Consider the following 18,537-nt stretch of genomic DNA (forward strand, 5'->3'; position numbering starts at 1 on the left):
GATTTACATATGAAAACAGTCTCAGTGCTAGGGAGAGAAAAAAGTTTAAGTAGCAGTATGAGAAGCTTACAGGAAAAAGCTAAAAATATTTCAAAGGAAAATCTGTGAATTAGAAAAAAATATATACTTCCATAAGCAATTTTGTTTATCTCCTGGGTAAAAGACAAGATCATCTCTGTCTATGCTTGGTAAAGATGCTATGTATTTGGCCACTACCATTTGAGAGAAGCAGAAGAGCATAGCAGTGTTCAGACTCTAGAGCCAGACTGTCTGGGTTCAATCCCAGTTCTGGAACTTTTCAGTTTTGTGAGCTTGGGCAAGCTGCACGACTTCTCTGTGCCTTGGTCATCTTCTCCATAAAGTTAGGATGATAATAGAGCCCACCTCATAACATTCTGACAAGGGCTAAATGAGTTAATATATCTAACATCTAGACTAGTTCTTGATACATACTAGATTTTCTCCTTGGATATTTGTTGTTATTTGCTACAACTTGGTAAAGATCAGACCTCAAAGGAATAATAGCTACTTTTTAAAAATAGTAGATAGGCCAAGCATGGTGGCTCATGCCTCTAATCCCAGCACTCTGGGAGGCTGAGGTGGGTGGATTGTTTGAGCTCAGGAGTTCAAGACCATCTAGGGCAACATGGAAACACCCCATCTCTACAAAGATACAAAAATTAGCCAGGTATGGTGGCGCATGCCTGTAGTCCCAACTACTTGGGAGGCTGAGGTGGAAGTTGCAGTGAGTCATGATCATGCCACTGCACTCCAGCCTCGGTGACAGAGCCAGACCCTGTCTCCAAAAAATATAAATAAATACATACATACATACATACATACATACATACATACATATATAATGTAAAGTCCTTAAAATGGCCTATCAGGTGCCCATCAATCCAGGAGTGGATAAAGAAAATGTGGTATATAAATAAGATGGAATACAACTCAGCCATAAAAAGGAATGAGTTAATGGCATTCATGGCAACCTGGATGGGATGGGAGACTATTATTCTAAGTGAAGTAACTCAGGGATGGAAAATCAAACATTGTATGTTCTCACTCATAAGTGGGAGCTAAGCTCTGAGGATGCAAAGGTATAAGAATGATGCAATGGACTTTGGGGACTTTCGGGGAAAGGGTGGGAAGGGAGATAAGGGATATAAGGCTACAAATTGGGTTCAGTGTTTACTGCTCAGGTGATGGGTGCACCAAAATCTCATAAATCACCACTAAAGAATTTACTCATGTAACTGAATACCAGCTGTTCCCCAAAAAACCTATTAAAAAAATGGCCTATTAGGGAAAAAAAATAGTGGGACGTATTATTGAGTTTTGTTATCTTGTGTTTTTTTAAAATACTTTTTTGAAAGTGTATTGGTTCTTTATTGTTGCTGTAACATATTTCCATAATATTGGTTCATGCAGTACCATAAATCCAGTGGCTTAAACAACACAAATATATTCTCTTCCAGTACTGGAGATTAGAAGTCTAAACTGGGTTTCACTGGGCTAATATCAAGGTGTTGGCAGGGCACCTCCTTTCAGGACCTTTCAGGGAAAATCCATTTTCTTGCCTTTCTGGCTTCTAGAGGCTGCCCACATTCCTTTGCTGCTAGTGCCATGCCATTGTCAAAGCCAGCAATGGCCAGTCAAGATTTCTTACATCACTCTGATGCCAAATCTTCTACCTCCTTCTCCCACACGTCGACACCCCTGTGATTTCTTTGGACCCACCCCGATATCCAGGATAGTCTCCCTATTTTAAGATCAGCTGATTAGCGAACTTAATTCATCTGCAAGCCTAATTCCTCTTTGCCATGTAATGAAACATATTCACAGGTTCCAGGGATTAGGGCATAGACATTTTGGGGGGCCATTGTTCTGCCTGCCGCAGAGGGGAATAACATCTATCTTAGAAACTGGAATGATTAATATAGTCTGCATGGTAAAGTGAGAAGAGTTTTGGAGTAAGCAAACAAGAGGTCTGAGTTCAAGCCTGTGTTTGGTTATTAGCTAGTTTTATGATCTCGAGAAATTTTAAGTCACTTTATCTCTTTGGACTTCTATGCAATAAGAGTTGATGTTATATGACCTATGACTCTGTCAAATTAAAAATAAAGGGCTAAAGTCATTGGATTATACAACAAGGCATTGAGATATTCTTCTGCAGAGGACAGCTCTAAATTTAGTTTTTAAATGAGTCTACCTTTACCTGCCTTCTTGGTTCTGAAATTTCCCCCTTTCACAGTGTAAAAACCATGCATCATCACAACTTCTGGGCATTGGGAGAGGTGCAGTTTTTTGTTTTTTTGTTTTGTTTTGTTTTTTTGTTAGATAGATACTCGCTCTGTTGCCCAAGCTGGAGTGCAGTGGCGCCATCTTGGCTCACTGCAACCTCTGCCTCCTGGGTTCAAGCGATTTTCCTGCCTCAGCCTCCTGAGTAGCTGGGATTATAGGCGCATGCCACCACATCCAGCTAATTTTTGTATTTTCAGTAGAGACGGGGTTTCACCATGTTGGTCAGGCTGGTCCCGAACTCCTGACCTCATGATCCTCCCACTTCAGCCTCCCAAAGTGCTGGGATTACAGGAGTGAGCCACCGCACCCGGCCATGGTGCAATATTTTTGAGGCAAGATGTATGAACTGTTTTATCAGTGCATACCAACATTCGCTCCAACATGGGAGAAATCATTCCTGTGGTGTTCTTTCTTAAACCTAATTTCCTCTATTCGTATAGGTGGACACAAGTAATATTTTAAAATAAAATCTGATTTTATTGCAGCTATAATTAGAAACCATTTACTTGAAAGTTCTTCTTTTTGAAAATGCAGAGGAATACATTATCCTTCGCATGACTTTCTGAATCCTTGAAGACCACTAGATCATCCCTTGTTCTCCTCCATAAGCATTACTTTTCAATCCTTTAATCATATTTGTTGCAAATTTAAGAGACTACTTTTAACACTTTGAGAGGGGCTGTTGTTAATGAAAATAGAGGCATAAGGGCAGATATAAAGCCAAGAAAACCTGTCATCTATTACGCTAAGCACGTTAATAGAGCTTATCCTTGTACTGAAGATCCTGGAGAAAGAGATAAAAGAGATATTTCTTCATTTTTGAAATTCATTTTTAAGGAGAAAAAAAAATCCATCTTAACTACCACAACTATTTATAGTCTCAGAAGTAGCTTGGTAACAGAAAATAATCCTGCTTGAACTAACAAATAAGTAATATAAATTCAAGCCTCAGTTATGTCATTAACTAGCTGTGTGACCATGGACAAGTCACTTGACCTCTCTAAACTTTCATTTCATAGCGTTCATTCACTGGACTGCAAGAGAATAATTGGGTCCAACAAAGAGTAACAAAGAAAACGTGACAGGATAGCGAAGACATATTAAAAAGAAACCTGTAAACCGTTTTAAGGAATGTTGAATTTCAAATACCACTAATTTAAACAAAATTCCCTCAACAGAGAATCGGATGGCCCAGCTATTTGATTTATTCTGTCAACCTACCCAGGAATGCCAGCAGCTTAGAAAATTGTGATGATGAAAAGAAAACAAAAAAAGTTTGTAAAATTTGTTACTTTTTTGAAACCAAGTGAATATCTATTTTTTTAATTTCATAATCAAACTTGTTTTCATTTTCAAATTTCTATGAAACAAATGAAGACAATGCTAAATATTGAGTTAGTTCAATTGAGCTTGACACTATTGAGGGCCCAAGCAGAGGTTTATTTCCTCAAAAAGCAATCAACATTCTCCCTCTTGGCGCTACCGAAATTTGTACCCTAACTAGGTAGTCGCCTCAAACACCTTAGTCTGGTAACACAGAGCATAGAGCAGGGGAGTATGAGACCATCATCTCTAGTGGAAAAACAACTCAAACATGCTTGAGTGACAGACAACAGCCATAAACGGTATCTCTTTTCCTTGTGGAAAATAGCACTTCTCCATGCTTTGGCTGACTATCAAACCCTGGGGACAGCCTCCGGTTCCAAACAGAAAGCAACGCAGATCTCAGTGGCATTCCAATCTAGCCCGTTTTCAGTTCCCACAGATGTTTTTAGCTGGTGGTAGGCTATTGCCTTCAGGAGTTTGTCATTTACAGAATCTTATAAAGTGGGTACCAGTGTTCCCTGCCCTCTTCCCAGGCAGGAACAGCTATGTCATGGGAAACCCGTCAGGCATTCAGTGGCTTCTTGTCCCAGACCTCCTGTGGTTGGCCTATCTTTCCAAGCCAATTTGAGGCTTCTCTATTCTCTTTGTCCCCCTTGGCTATCTATGACAAGGGGCTGGATCTTAGAGCTGAGTGGTCCATCAGGGATATTTTGGGCTAATAACACCCATTGTGCTTGGAAACATTTGTATGGTACCACAATAAAGTTCCTGAGTAGAATTTGCTTGTCTGTGCTAAAAACTTCAGTAGACCATTGACAGGAGCCAAAGCCTTCAATGACAAGAGAGGATGTGTCTTATAGATGGGATGGGACAGGAGTAATAAAGTGTCTAAATGCAGGACTTACTTACTTTTGTTGCTGAAGGCATGATCTTGAAAGATTTAAAGACAGAAACCAAGAAATGAATGTCATATTGTCACTTTTAATTCCCCAGCAAAATAAATCTCCTGATTTTTCTGTCAGAGTGATTTGTAAACAAAAACTCTCCATTAAAAAAAGAAATGATTTCTTTAAAGTCTGTCTTGTGAAAAGACATTGCTTACTATACTATTTAAATTTGATTTCCTGGGGTGGAAATATTTGCTTGTGCTGACAACAATGCATCAAGCATACAGACGCAGAGCCAGTGGCCGGGCTCCTTAAACAAATGATTTTAGTAGATGTGGCTCTTGGCCTTCAGGACATAAAATCTGTTTTTGTTTCTGTTTTGTATACTAATATCAGCAAAGGCTTCCCTTTTCTCTTTGCATTTGGAAACTTTTGGTTGAATTTCATTAGGCAGGCGGCTCTCTTTTAATGTATAAGTTTTTGAGTAATGTTGGAAAAAGTTAATTAATCAGAATGCTTGAATAACAGGTTAAACAGCTATTAAAATTTGTAATCATTAAGATTCACTTAGCCAGAAGATACTTTCTGCCTGTATCCTTTTTTTTTTTTTTTTTTTTTTGAGACAGTCTTGTTCTGTCATCCAGACTGGAGTGCAGTGGCGCGATCTTGGCTCACTGCAACCTCTGCCTCCCCGGTTCAAGTGATTCTCCTGTCTCAGCCTCCCGAGCAGCTGGGATTACAGGTGCCTGCCACCACGACTGGCTAATTTTGTATTTTTAGTAGAGATGGGGTTTCACCATGTTGGCCAGGCTAGTCTTGAGCTCCTGGCCTCAAGTGATCCACCCACTTCGGCCTCCCAAAGTGCTGGGATTACAGGCATGAGCCACCACACCCAGCCCTCAAATCTTTTTAATAGAATCTTTAAAACTATATCGGCTGGGCATGGTGCATCACGCTTGTAATTCCAGCACTTTTGGGAGGCTGAAGCGGGTGGCTCACGTGAAGCTAGGAGTTTGAGACCAGCCTGGCCAATATGGTGAAACCCCGTTTCTACTAAAAATACAAAAATTAGCCAGGGCACAGGCCTGTAATCCCAGCTCTCAGGAGGCTGAGGCACAAGAATCGCTTGAACCCAAAAGGCAGAGGCTCCAGTTAGCTGAGATCGCACCACTGCATTCCAGCCTGGGGAACAGAGGGAGACTCCATCTCAAAAAAACATCAAAAACAAACAAACAAAGAAAGTATATTATTGCCTATATTAAAGATCTTGTAGGGTACTAAGATCAAGATTCTGGATATGTTTGGACATTGTTCAGCTGTGGGTTGAAGACTGGGATGAAGGTGCACTGACCTTAGAACTTGCCTTTGTAACTATTACTTTTTATTAAATGACTTATACTGCATTTTTTTTATGATTCCCCTATTTTTCCTGAAAGCCAAGTATAGAAGCTAATTCTAGTTAATTTATGGTTTCATTTAATTAAGTTCCACTTAAATGAGATTTTACTGTAACATGGTCAATTGTATTATGAATTATGAGATTTATTTGGGGCAAAGTTAGCACTTACAGGCTGGAAGAAACCTAATGTCTTTAAAACTTGAAAGAAGAGTCTTCTTAGAACTTATTTTCTGGATGCCACACAGGTCTGCCTCTTTCTGATGAAACCTAATTCCAAGCATCACTTTTTATCTCTAAGAACTCCAGCTCTGATTGTGTCTTTGCTTTGGTGACACCCTGGCGGTTCCTTTCTGTTGCTCAGAATTTGTCAAAAGAATAAGGAAGATCCTGATGAGCTCAGTCTCCCTTACCCACCACTAGGTCAAGCCTCCCTCTCTGAAGAGTCCTTCTCATCCTTATGCCTGCTTCCAGAGTTGGTGGGGTTGGCTTTGGAGCAGGACTTAATTTTGCCTCATTTAAAATCATGTGCTCAATTGCTTTCTTTCTCTTAAATAATGAAAAGCCAGCAAAGAATAGCTTAATGCATAAGGAAAAATGAATTTAGAGAAATTATTCATCTGCCTGTAAATAATAGCTTCATGGATATGAGGTAGCTAATTCTCGACAATATTAGGTGCTCTTTCAATAAAAGCAAGAGAAAGAAAATATCTCAGAAATTTCTTTGTCATGCTTAAAAGTCCTCTGTCCCCCACTCCCCACAATTCCCTGTTTTTTTTTTTAGAAGGGATATTTGTTCTCTCTTATAATCTGGAAATGTATGTGCCTAATTAAAATAAGATGTACTCTTTAAATGATGAAAATAAAAAGTGATCAAAATAGATTTTTGTTATCCTTGGGGCATTGGGAGTTTAAACGCAAACTGCATGGCTTGCAGTGTGGAGAATTAATTATTGGTAATTGAAGTTGTAAGCTTAATTCCCTGCTTGCTTCAATGAAAATGAATCCTTTTATTTAATATTGAAATAAGCACCACTAACCTCATGATCTGAGACAGCACATGCACTCAGCTTTTGAGCAACAGTGAATGTTTAAAAAGCTTTATCTTTTTAACACTGAATTGTGATTAAAACAAAACAAAACAGAAACACCAGCTTGCGGGAGTGGTATAAATACATTAGCAAATAACATAATAGATGGTATTTGGGTACTCTTAATAGATGCTGTTCTTATTCACCAGTAAGAGACTTCATTTTGTATTCAAATAAAAGTCTAAACCATTAAAAAATGCATTTATGCTTTTTGAAAACTTGTCCTGAGTAAAATATTTTCGTTGGCTTGTTTTGTCATGTTGAAGCAGGGTGACCGTTCAAACTGTTGGGCAGAAAAATTTCTCTGCCCTGTGTTTCTGCTGTGAGGAGTTCTTGTCTTCCTGAGGAAGCATTACAGCTAATCATGATGTGGACTTTGCCTCCTGCCCAGTTCTCTTGCTGTGTCTGTGCCCCTCTGTGTCTCAAGGAATGTCTCTGGGTATTTACACTGACTGTTCTGTGACTTAGATCTGGTAGATTTCCAGGCCCCCTATTCTATGCCTGCTCTTTGCCTAATTAACATCTACTCCTCTCTCAGATCTCAACTCAAACATTACACCTGAGATTAAGGCAAGCACTCCTCTCTTATATTCTTACCACAGTAAATCATGTTGCAATTACTTGTTTCATGCTTGTCCGTTCTGCCAGAGCACAAGTTCCAAGAAGGCAGGGTCTGCCTTGTTCACGGGTAGAGGTCCAGTAACTAGTTCAGAGCCTTGCATATATGGGGGATCAAGAAACATGTTTGAGTGAATGAATGAATAAATGAATGAATGGTGAATGAATGTTAATCAAGGTTGGTCTGAGCAACACTTGGCAAAATTCCCAGTTTATAGTCCTGAAGTATCCATAACTCTTACAATACAATTAATAATTCATTTTTCTCATTTTTAAATAGGAAATGAATGGGATTAGTATTTTCTGACTTTCTATTTATTGTACTTCATACTTAGTCCTCAGTCAACATTTCCTAAAAGACAATTTATCCATATTTCAGTAAGTAACATCTGTAATTGTGTAATAAGTAACACAAGAAAAATTAAGCTTGTTGTTTAATGTATTTATTAGAGAAAAACCTAGATATTGAAATTCCTTCAAATGAAACAGTGTTGTTTGAATTTGCTCTCAGTGGAACCTATCATTTCTGACCTAGGAGAGGTCTGTTCTTTAAGCAACCAGCCTCTGTGTCCACAAAGTTTGGTCATGGTTTGTAGAAAACTCCTTTGGGTCAGCTCCAAGGGCCAAGTTTGCTCAGATTGCTCAAACTTTCAAAACTATTTTTCTCAAAAGCACAGGGCTTAAATGAACACTTGTTTGATCTAAATATGGTTTCACATTGTCATGGAGAGAAAATAAAGGAGACAGAAGAACGCTTTGGTCTTTATCTCAGTATCCTGAAACTTCTACTTCATTCATTTTTAAAAAAGGAGCAAAAGTAGATCTAAATGGTTTTCTGGGTTAAGATGGTAGACTAAACCACACATCTAATTTTGCTGCTCTACAAAATTCCATAAAACTTGAGTAAAGTGATTTTCTTGAAAAGGTACAACTCACATGAAAAAAACACAAAAACAAAAAAAAGGAGAAACTAAAAAACAAAGAAAAAACTGGAAAAAAAAAAAAAAAGGCCGGGCACGGTGGCTCACGCCTCTAATCCCAGCACTTCGGGAGGCTGAGGAGGGCAGATCACTTGAGATCAGGTGCTGGCCAACATGGTGAAACCCCGTTTCTACTAAAAATACATAAATTAGCCAGGCATGGTGGTGGGCGCCTGTAATCCCAGCTGCTTGGGAGGCTGAGGCAGGAGAATCACTTGAACCTGGAAGGCGGAGGTTGCAGTGAGTTAAGATCACACCACTGCACTCCAGCCTAGGTGACAGAGTGAGACTCTGGAAAAAAAAAAAAAGAAGAAGAAAGAAAGAAAGAGAGAAAGAGAGAGAAAGAAAGAAAGAGAGAGAGGGAGGGAGGAAAGAAGGAAGGAAGGAAGAAAGAAAGAAAGAAAAAGAGAGAGAGAGAAGGAAAGAAAGAAAGAAAAGAGAGAGAAGGAAAGAAAGAAAGAAAGAAAGAAAGAAAGAAAGAGAAAGAAAGAAAGAGAGAGAGAGAAGGAAAGAAAGAAAGAGAAAGAAAGAAAAAGAAAGAAAGAAAGAAAGAAAGAAAGAAAGAAAGAAAGAAAGAAAGAAAGAAAAAGAAAGGAAGGAAGGAAGGAAGGAAGGAAGGAAGGAAGGAAGAGAAAAGCAAGCAAGCAAGCACAAGAGAATACAAGGGCAGGAAAATTTTGGAATCTGAAAAGCAGACTGACAACTGGCAGTGCCATATACCCCTACCACTGGTGTAGAGGGGAGGCCAAAATAATGAAGAGGGTAAAATGAGGATTGAATGAAAGCTGTTCCATTGGGTTAAATCTCTATACCTTAACTCACATTGCCCTTTCCTCACCTGATTTATTCTGAGGAGTAAGCGCAGCAGAAGGCCTTTGAAATGCAGGACACGAGATACAATTAAAGATCTATCATCATACCAAACACAGACAGATTGCATGACTGAATGCATATGGAATGCTAAAACCTTTCATCACTTCCTCCACTTGGCTTCCAGAATGCCAGAAGCCTGGTCATTTCCCTTTAGTAAGGAGATCGGAAGAATGTTTTCTGCTAAAAATCTCAACATAGGAGGAAAGTTTTTTGTTTTTTGGGTTTTTTTTTTTTTTTTTTTTGAGATGGAGTCTTGCTCTGTTGCCCAGGCTGGAGTGCAGTGGCGCGATCTCCGCTCACTGAAGCCTCTGGCTCCCAGGTTCAAGCAATTCTCTGCCTCAGCCTCCCAAATAGCTGGGATTACAGGCATGTACCACGACACCCAGCTAATTTTTGTATTTTTAGTAGAGATGGGGTTTCATCATGTTGGCCAGGCTGGTCTTGAACTCCTGGCCTCAAGTGATCTGCCCACCTGGGCCTCCCAAAGTGCTGGGATTACACGCATGAGCCACCATGCCCTGCCAGGAGGAAAGATTTTTTAAATATTGACATTGGAAGTACAAAGAGCCTATCCAGACCACTTGACAGTGACATCCAAAGTAAACAAGCTCCACAGAAGCACCCAGAGCAACCAATTATGATTTAAATCCCTTGTTCTTAATTATAAAGGAAGGATGACAAGATATGGAAGATAAAGACCAAACCAATAAACAAAAGAAAGCAACTTGAAGGAAATAGAGACTATACGGTGGGGGGTGGGGCGGGGGGAAACTCCAACAAAGCTATTCTTTTTTTTTTTTTTTTTTTTTTTGAGACAGGGTCTCATTCTGTTGCCCAGGCTGGAGTTTAGTGGCTCTATCTTGGCTCACTGTAGCTTCGATCTCCTGGGCTCAAGCAATTCTCCCAACTAATCCTCCTGATTAGCCAGGACCACAGGCATGCACCAATATGACCAGCTAATTTTTTTTTATTTAATTTAATTAATTTATATATTTATTTATTTGAGGTAGAGTCTAGCTCTGCCGCCCAGGCTGGAGTGTAGTGGCGTGACCGCAGCTCACTGCAACCTCCGCCTCCCAGGCTCAAGCAATTCTCCTGCCTCACCCTCTCAAGTAAGTGGGATTACAGGCGCATGCAACCACATCCAGCTAATTTTTATATTTTTTTAGTAGAGACGGGGTTTCACCATGTTGGCCAAGTTGGTCTTGAACTCCTGACGTCAAGTGATCTGCCCACCTCGGCCTCCCAAAGTGCTGGGATTACAGGCGTGAGCCACTGTGCCCGGCCACCAGCTAATTTTTGTATTTTTTTTTTTTTTTAATTTTACTTTAAGTTCTGGGATACATGTGCTGAATGTGCAGGCTTGTTACATAGGTATACATGTGCCATGGTGGTTTCCTGCACCTATCAACCTGTAATCTAGGTTTTAAGCCCTGCATGCATTAGGTATTTGTCTTAATGCTCTCTGTCCCCTTTCCCCCGACCTCCAACTTTTGTATTTTTAGAGGAGACAGGGTCTCATCATGTTGCCGAGGCTGCTGTCGAACTCCTGAGCTCAAGCAATCCACGCACCTCGGCTCCCAAAGTGGGCCACCGTGCCTGGCCAAACAAAGCTATTCTTTTTTTTTTTCGAGACGGAGTTTCACTCTTGTTGCCCAGGCTGGAGTGCAATGGCACAATCTCGGCTCACCACAACTTCCGCCTCCCGGGTTCAAGCAATTTTCCTGCCTTAACCTCCCAAGTAGCTGGGATTACAGGCATGCGCCACCATACCCAGCTAATTTTGTATTTTTGGTAGAGACAGGGTTTCACCATGTTGGCCAGGCTGATCTTGAACTCCTGACTTCAGGTGATCCACCTGCCTCAGCCTCCCAAAGTGCTGGGATTACAGGTGTGAGCCACTGCACCCAGCCCAAACAAAGCTATTCTTAATAACCTCAGAGAGACTGGGTGCAGTGGCTCCCGCCTGTAATTCTAGCGCTTTGGGAGGCCAAGGTGGGCAGATTGAAAGGCAATGGAAGGGCACCGTGGAACAATAAGGCGGAGAGGCGAGACTAAGAGGGCAAAAATCTTCTTTCTTGAGCTCTCAGGCGAGGTTCACTGGTCCGCAGGGGGAGGGCCAGGGAAGTCGCACTGTGCCAAAGGTGCAGCGCGCTTTTATGGATGCTGGGTGAAGAGTGGGCGGGGTAGGGGCGGGGTCGGTTGAGTTTCGCGCTTCTGAGTGTGACACGCCCTAGTGGGCATGCGCGTTAGTCAGGGTGGCGGGAACAGGAAAGGTGAACCCGGAAATGCTGAATCAGGGTATCCGAGGTGGCGATCGCCATCTTGGAGTCTTCACTGGAGTCCAATCACAGATCACCTGAGGTCCGGAGCTCAAGATCAGCCTGGCCAACATAGTGAAACCCCATCTCTACTAAAAATAGAAAAAATTACCGGGTCGTGGTGGCATATGCCTGTAGTCCCAGCTACTCGGGAGGCTGAGGCAGGAGAATCGCTTGAATCCAGGTGGCAGAGGTTGCAGTGAGCCGAGATCTTGACACTGCACTCCAGCCTGGGTGATGGAGCGAGACTCTGTCTAAAAAAAAAAAAAAAAATTCTGAGAGAAAATATTTCCTTTGTGAAAATAGAAAATGATGCTATGTCAAAAGAAAATTCAGAGAATTAAAAGAGCAGCTAATAGCTGAAATGAAAAATTCAACAGAAGAGTTGAAGATAAAGTTCAAGAAAGTGTTAAGAAAACAGCAAAAAGACAGACGGAAAATAGAAGAGAAGATATAAGAAAAATAAAGGGAGCACACCTGAAGGTCTCACATATGAGTAATAAGGGTTCCAGGAAGAGAGCAAGGAGAAAATGAAGCAGAAAAATCATTAGTAAAATAATTTAACAAAAATTTTTCACAACTGAAGACATGAATTGCTAGATGAAAAGGGCCCACCAAGTGCTCCTGCAAAATAGATTCTAGTAGAGCTACATTGAGCAACATCACTGTGAAGTTTCAGAACACTGGGGACAGAGATCCTATAAACTTGCAGAGAGAAAAATAGACTACTTAGAAAGGACTAGGAATCAGAATGCCTTCACACTTCTCAGCTACAATAAGACAAGAGAAAGACCTTCAAAAAAAATTTTTTTTTTTGAGATGGAGTCTCACTCTGTTGCCCAGGCTGGAGTGCAATGGCGTGATCTTGGCTCAATGCAATCTCCACCTCCCAGGTTCAAGCGTTTCTCCTGCCTCAGCCTCTCGAGTAGCTGGGATTACAGATGCCCATCTCCACGCCCAGCTAATTTTTGTATTTTTAGTAGAGACAGGGTTTCACCATGTTGGCCAGGATGGTCTTGATCTCCTGACCTCGTGATCCACCAGCCTTGGCCTCCCAAAATGCTGGGATTACAGGTGTCAGCCACCATGCCCAGCCGACCTTCAAAATTTTTCAGAGTCCAGGCACAGTGGCTCACACCTGTAATCCCAGCACTTTGAAACACAAATATGGGAAGATCACTTGAGCCCAAGAGTTTAAGGGTGCAGTGAGCTATCATCATGCCATTGTATTTCAGCCTGGGCAATAGAGCAAGACCCTGAAAATGTCTTTGCTAAATTATAACAGTAATAGAAATCCACCTCAGTTGACTCCATTTTGCTTCTAACCTTCAAACTGTCCTTGGTCATTCCCGGGTGTAGTCCAAGCTAACTTTGGGAGAAATTTAGTTTGTATTTTAACTTTAAAACAAGGATGATAATAGTCCCTCCCTAAAACTAAGCCCTTCCAGCCGGGTGTGGTGGCTCATGCCTGTAATCCCAACATTTGGGGAAGTCGAGGTGGGTGGATCACCTGAGGTGAAGAGTTCGAGACTAGCCTGACCAACATGGTGAAACCCCATCTCTACTAAAAATACAAAAAAATAGCCAGGGGTAACGGTGGATGCCTGTAATCCTAGCTACTCGTGAGGCTGAGGCAAGAGAATTGCTTGAACAAGGAGGCAGAGGTTGCAGTGAGCCGAGATGTCGCCATTGCACTCTAGCCTGGGCAACAAGAGCGAAACTCCGTCTCTAAATAGATAAATAAAAACTAAGCCTTTCCTTGCTCAGGGACTGAAAACCGCCTTTGTAAAACCACAAGATTAGGCTTATGGGAGGGACCTGAACTCTACTAAAATATAGGAGTAGTTTCCATAATCCCTTACTGCTCAGGGATCATGTGCCCAGAGGTCACAAGATTTGTGACTTCTCCAATTGCTCTTCCAGATAACATCACTATTGTAAAACCTAAAATTATTATATTATTTTTTGCAATAGTTTTCAGACTGATCCCACCCACGCTCATGACTCAGGACTCAACTAATCCTGATATTCTCACCCAGAAGCTGACTCAGCACACAAGGACCATTCTCCACACTCCTGTGATTTCATCCCCAACAAATCAGCAGCACCCATTCCCTAGACCCCTACCCACCAAATTGACCATAAAAACCATAGCCTTCAAGCCTTCAGGGTAGCTGATTTGAATGATCACTCTATTTCTCCTGCATGGGCCAGCCTCATGTCAATTAAATTATACTGCAATGCTGTGATCTCAGTGAATTGATTTTGTCTGTGCAGTGGACAGGAATAATCTGTTTGGCAATTATACACTGTCTTTACAAAAACAACAAAAATTCTTGAGTTAAAGCATTCCTACTGCAATTCTAGATTCAGCCAAACCATCAAATACACAGGAGAGAAGAAGAAAAACATTTTCAGGCCATCCACCATGGCTCACACCTATAATCCCAGCACTTTGGGAGGCCGAAGTGGGAGGATCACCTGAGGCCAGGAGTTCAAGACCAGCCTGGCCAAAACAGGGTGAAAACCCATCTCTACTAAAAATACAAAAATTAGATGGGCGTGGTGGCACGCACTTGTAATCCCAGCTACTCGGGAGGCTGAGGCGGGAGAATCGCTGGAACCTGGAGGGCAGAGGTTGCAGTGAGCCAAGATCGTGCCACTGTACTCCAGCCTGGGCGACAGAGGGAGACTCTGTCTTGTTTTTTTTTTTGTTGTTGTTGTTTGTTTGTTTTTTGAGTTGGAGTCTCGCTCTGTCGCCCAGGCTGGAGTGCAGTGGCCGGATCTCAGCTCATTGCAACCTCCATCTTCCAGATTTGAGCGATTCTATCGCCTCAGCCTCCTGAGTAGCTGGGATTACAGGTGCATGCCACACCATGCCCAGCTAAAATTTGTATTTTTAGTAGAGACGGTGTTTCACCATGTTGGCCATGCTAGTCTTGAACACCTGACCTCAGGTGATCCACCCGCCTCGGCCTCCCAAAGTGCTGGGATTACAGGCGTGAGCCAAGGCGTCTGGCTCAGTCTCACTCTGTCGCCTAGGCTGGAGTGCAGTAGTGTGATCTAGGCTCACTGCAACCTCTGCCTCCCAGGTTCAAGTGATTCTCTCACCTCAGCCTCCTGAGTAGGTGGGGATTACAGGGCGCGCCACCACGTTCAGCTAATTTTTGTATTTTACTAGAGACAGGGTTTCACCATGCTGGCCAGGCTGGTCTCGAACTCCTGACCTCAAGTGATCCACCCACCTCGGCCTCCCAAAATGCTGGGATTACAGACGTGAGCCACTGCACCCAGATTGGCTTGGGTTGTTTTTTTTTTTTTTTTGAGACAGAGTTTCACTCTTGTTGCCCATGCTGGAGTGCAATGGCGCAATCTCGGCTAACCACAACCTCCGCCTCCCAGGTCCAAACAATTTTCCTGCCTCAGCCTCCCAAGTAGCTGGGATTAGAGGCATGCACCACCATGCTCCACTAATTTTGTATTTTTTTAGTAGAGATGGGGTTTCTCCATGTTGATCAAGCTGGTCTCAAACTCCTGATCTCAGGTGATCCGCCCACCTCAGCCTCCCAAAGTGATGGGACTAAAGGCACGAGCCACTGCACCCAGCCCTTGGCTCTGTCTTAAAACAACAACAACAAAAACATTTTCAGACAATCAAGGTCTCAAAAACTTAATTCCCATGTACTCTTTCTCAAGAAGCTATTAAGGATATGCTCCCACCAAAATGAATGGAAAAAAAGAATTAAAAAAGAAGAAAACATGGTATGCTGGAGGTTTTTCTGCACTCTAATCTGTGTCATGGGAAGTTGACCATTATGGATTGTATTACAGATTCACGTGCCCTGTGGTTGTGTTCAGACAAGGAGAGCCACCAGCAAGAAATCTGGAGGACAGAATGACAAAGACAGAGTAGGGCCTTGTGAAATTTAAAAAACCTGTGAGGTAACCAACACCCATTTTGTCACTCATTTCTCACTGACCTCTATCTTACTTTTGCTTTTCTTTCTTTCCTGTCTTCTTAGTCTGCTCCAACTTTCTTACTCTTCTCCCGCTCCTTCAATAAAGAAGCTTCAAAAGCAGTCTCCATCAGCATGCATAACCATGAATGGGGCAAATTGATCAAAAGAGGCAGTACAGCCTAAAGGATAAAAGGGCATGGGTTATAAAGTCAGAAAATAGTGAGTTCAAGTTCCAGCTCTGCCACTTAACAGAGGGGTGATCCTGGGCAAGTTACTCCTAATGTAATACAAGGAAAATTATCAGTATATCCACCTCATGGATGTATAGGGTGGTTAAATACGATTAATAAATGCAAAATCTTGGCCAGGTGCGGTGGCTCACGCCTGTAATCCCGGCACTTTGGGAGGCCGAGGCTTGAAACTGGGAGGCGGAGGTTGCAGTGAGCCGAGATTGCACCACTGCACTCCAGCCTGGGCAACCAGAGTGAATCTCCATCTCAAAAAATAAAAAAAATTAAATGTAAAATCTTAGGACAGTGAGTCACAAATTAAACTCTCAATGAATGGTAGCAATAATTAACATAAATTAAAAGTGCCGGCCAGGCACAGTGGCTAATGCCTGCAATCCCAGCACTTTGGAAGGACGAGGCGGGCGGATCACCTGAGTTCAGGAGTTCAAGACCAGCCTGACCAACATGGATAAATCCTGTCTCCACTAAAAATACAAAATTAGCCAGGTGTGGTGGTGCATGCCTGTAATCCCAGCTACTCAGGAGGCTGAGGCAGGAGAATCGCTGGAACCCGGGAGGTAGAGGTTGCAGTGAGCTAGCTGAGATTGCACCATTGCGCTGCAGCCTGGGCAATAAAAGCAAAACTCCATCTCAAAAAAAAAAAAAAAGTGCCATCCACCTGGTGAGAGACAGCTAGATTGCTTTCAATTCTCCACTTCACAAATATTTAAAAAAAAATTCATATGTGGCTTATGTAGATAATAATGCTATTCTGCAAATATTTCCAGACCTTTTACTCAGCACAGAGTAGGACTGCACTTCCTAGCTACTTATTTTCCCCTTGATGATAAGTGTGACGAAGAGACTACTTTGGTGGAGGAAATGTGAATTTAACTGATATGTATTACTTAAGGGTAAAAGCTCTCAGAACCCATGTAGAATTTTAATTAACTTTCAGATTACTAGTGAATGTCTTTGTCACTGAATTACCTATTAATATGCTTTACACATTTTTATTTTTTTTAAATTTTGGGTTGTTTTTGCTATATAGGATTTCTATGTCTACGCTGGGTCTGTGACAATTGAGCACTTGAAATGCAGCTAGAAATGAATTTTTCATTTCATTTCACTCCATTTAATTTAAATTTAAAACTGAAGCAGCATTTTGGTAAATGTACGTTTTACTTTAACTTATGTTAAGATATTGTTATTGTTTTATTATAGTACACATTTTTCTTATACATTATATATATTATACATACATTATTTCTTATGTGTTATACATAATATTCTTATGTATTATACATAACATATTCTTATGTATTATTTCTTATGTATTATACATAAAAACATCACCAATGTAGCCAGTACCAATGGACTGATTTGGTTTGAATGATTTTTTTCTGTGAACTATGTAACACTGCAATGTGTTTATTTGAATATTTTGTGCAAACAACAAGAGTTATAGTGATACCTACTTAAACCATCCTTCATAATTAAACTTATCCATCCTGCCAATCTCTGCCTTTTAATTGGCGTATTTAGATTAGTTATATTGAAAGTAATGATTGGTGTGCTGGGCTTAAGTTGGCTATTTTATTAATTGTTTACTGTTTGTTCCCTCTGTTTTTCATTCCTCTGTTTCCCCTTTCTCACCTTTCTGTGGGTCACTTGAAAATGTTTTAGAATTACATTTTGACTTTATAGTTTTTTGAGTATATTTCTTTGAATAGTTTTCTTAATGGTTTCCCTAGGTATTACAATATACTTGCATAATTTATCACAGTCTAACAGCGTTGACATTTTACCACTTTGAGTGTAGAAACCTTACTTCCATTAGGTCCTTTCACTCTTTCACTTTTTTAAATTGAAATGTTTGTTCTGCTAATTGTAGATTCACATGCAGTTGTAAGAAATAACAGAGATAGATTCCTTATATGCTGATTCCAGTTTTCCTCAATGGTAAAACTTTAAAAAACTGTATCATAACAGTATAACTAGGATACTGACATTGATACAATCCACAGATCATATTCAGATTTCCCATTGGAATCATTTGCATGTGTGTGATGTATTAAGTTCCATATATATATTATATATATGTATATGTGTATATATACGTGTGTGTGTGTGTGTGTGTGTGTATATATATATATATATATTTTTTTTTTTTTTGAGATAGAGTCTCCCTCTGTTGCCCAGGCTGGAGTGCTGTGGCACAATCTCGGGTCACTACAACCTCTGCCTCCCGGGTTCAAGCCATTCCCCTGCCTCAGCCTCTCAAGCAGCTGGGATTACAGGCTCCCACCACCACACCCGGCTAATTTTTGTATTTTTAGTAGAGACAGGTTTCACCATGTTGGCCAGGCTGTTCTCGATCTCCTGACCTCAGGTGATCCACCCACCTTGGCCTCTCAAAGTCCTGGGATTACAAGCATGAGCCACCACACCCGGCCAAGTTCCATATATTTTTATCTTCTGTGCAGGTTTGTGTATCTACTGCCACAGTCAAGATGCTAAACAGTTCCAACACGACAGGGAGCCCACCTGAT

The 18,537-nt window shown here is 41.3% G+C and overlaps 1 long non-coding RNA gene across 1 annotated transcript in view; it reads right to left on the bottom strand.

The window, feature by feature from the left end:
* Positions 1-18,537, bottom strand: part of RPL34-DT (RPL34 divergent transcript) — an 82,268-nt gene that overhangs the window by 44,572 nt on the left and 19,159 nt on the right. The window lies entirely within an intron of this gene.

The sequence above is a fragment of the Homo sapiens genome, chromosome 4 (assembly GCF_000001405.40).
Source record: "Homo sapiens chromosome 4, GRCh38.p14 Primary Assembly".
Classification (NCBI taxonomy): Eukaryota; Metazoa; Chordata; class Mammalia; order Primates; family Hominidae; genus Homo; species Homo sapiens.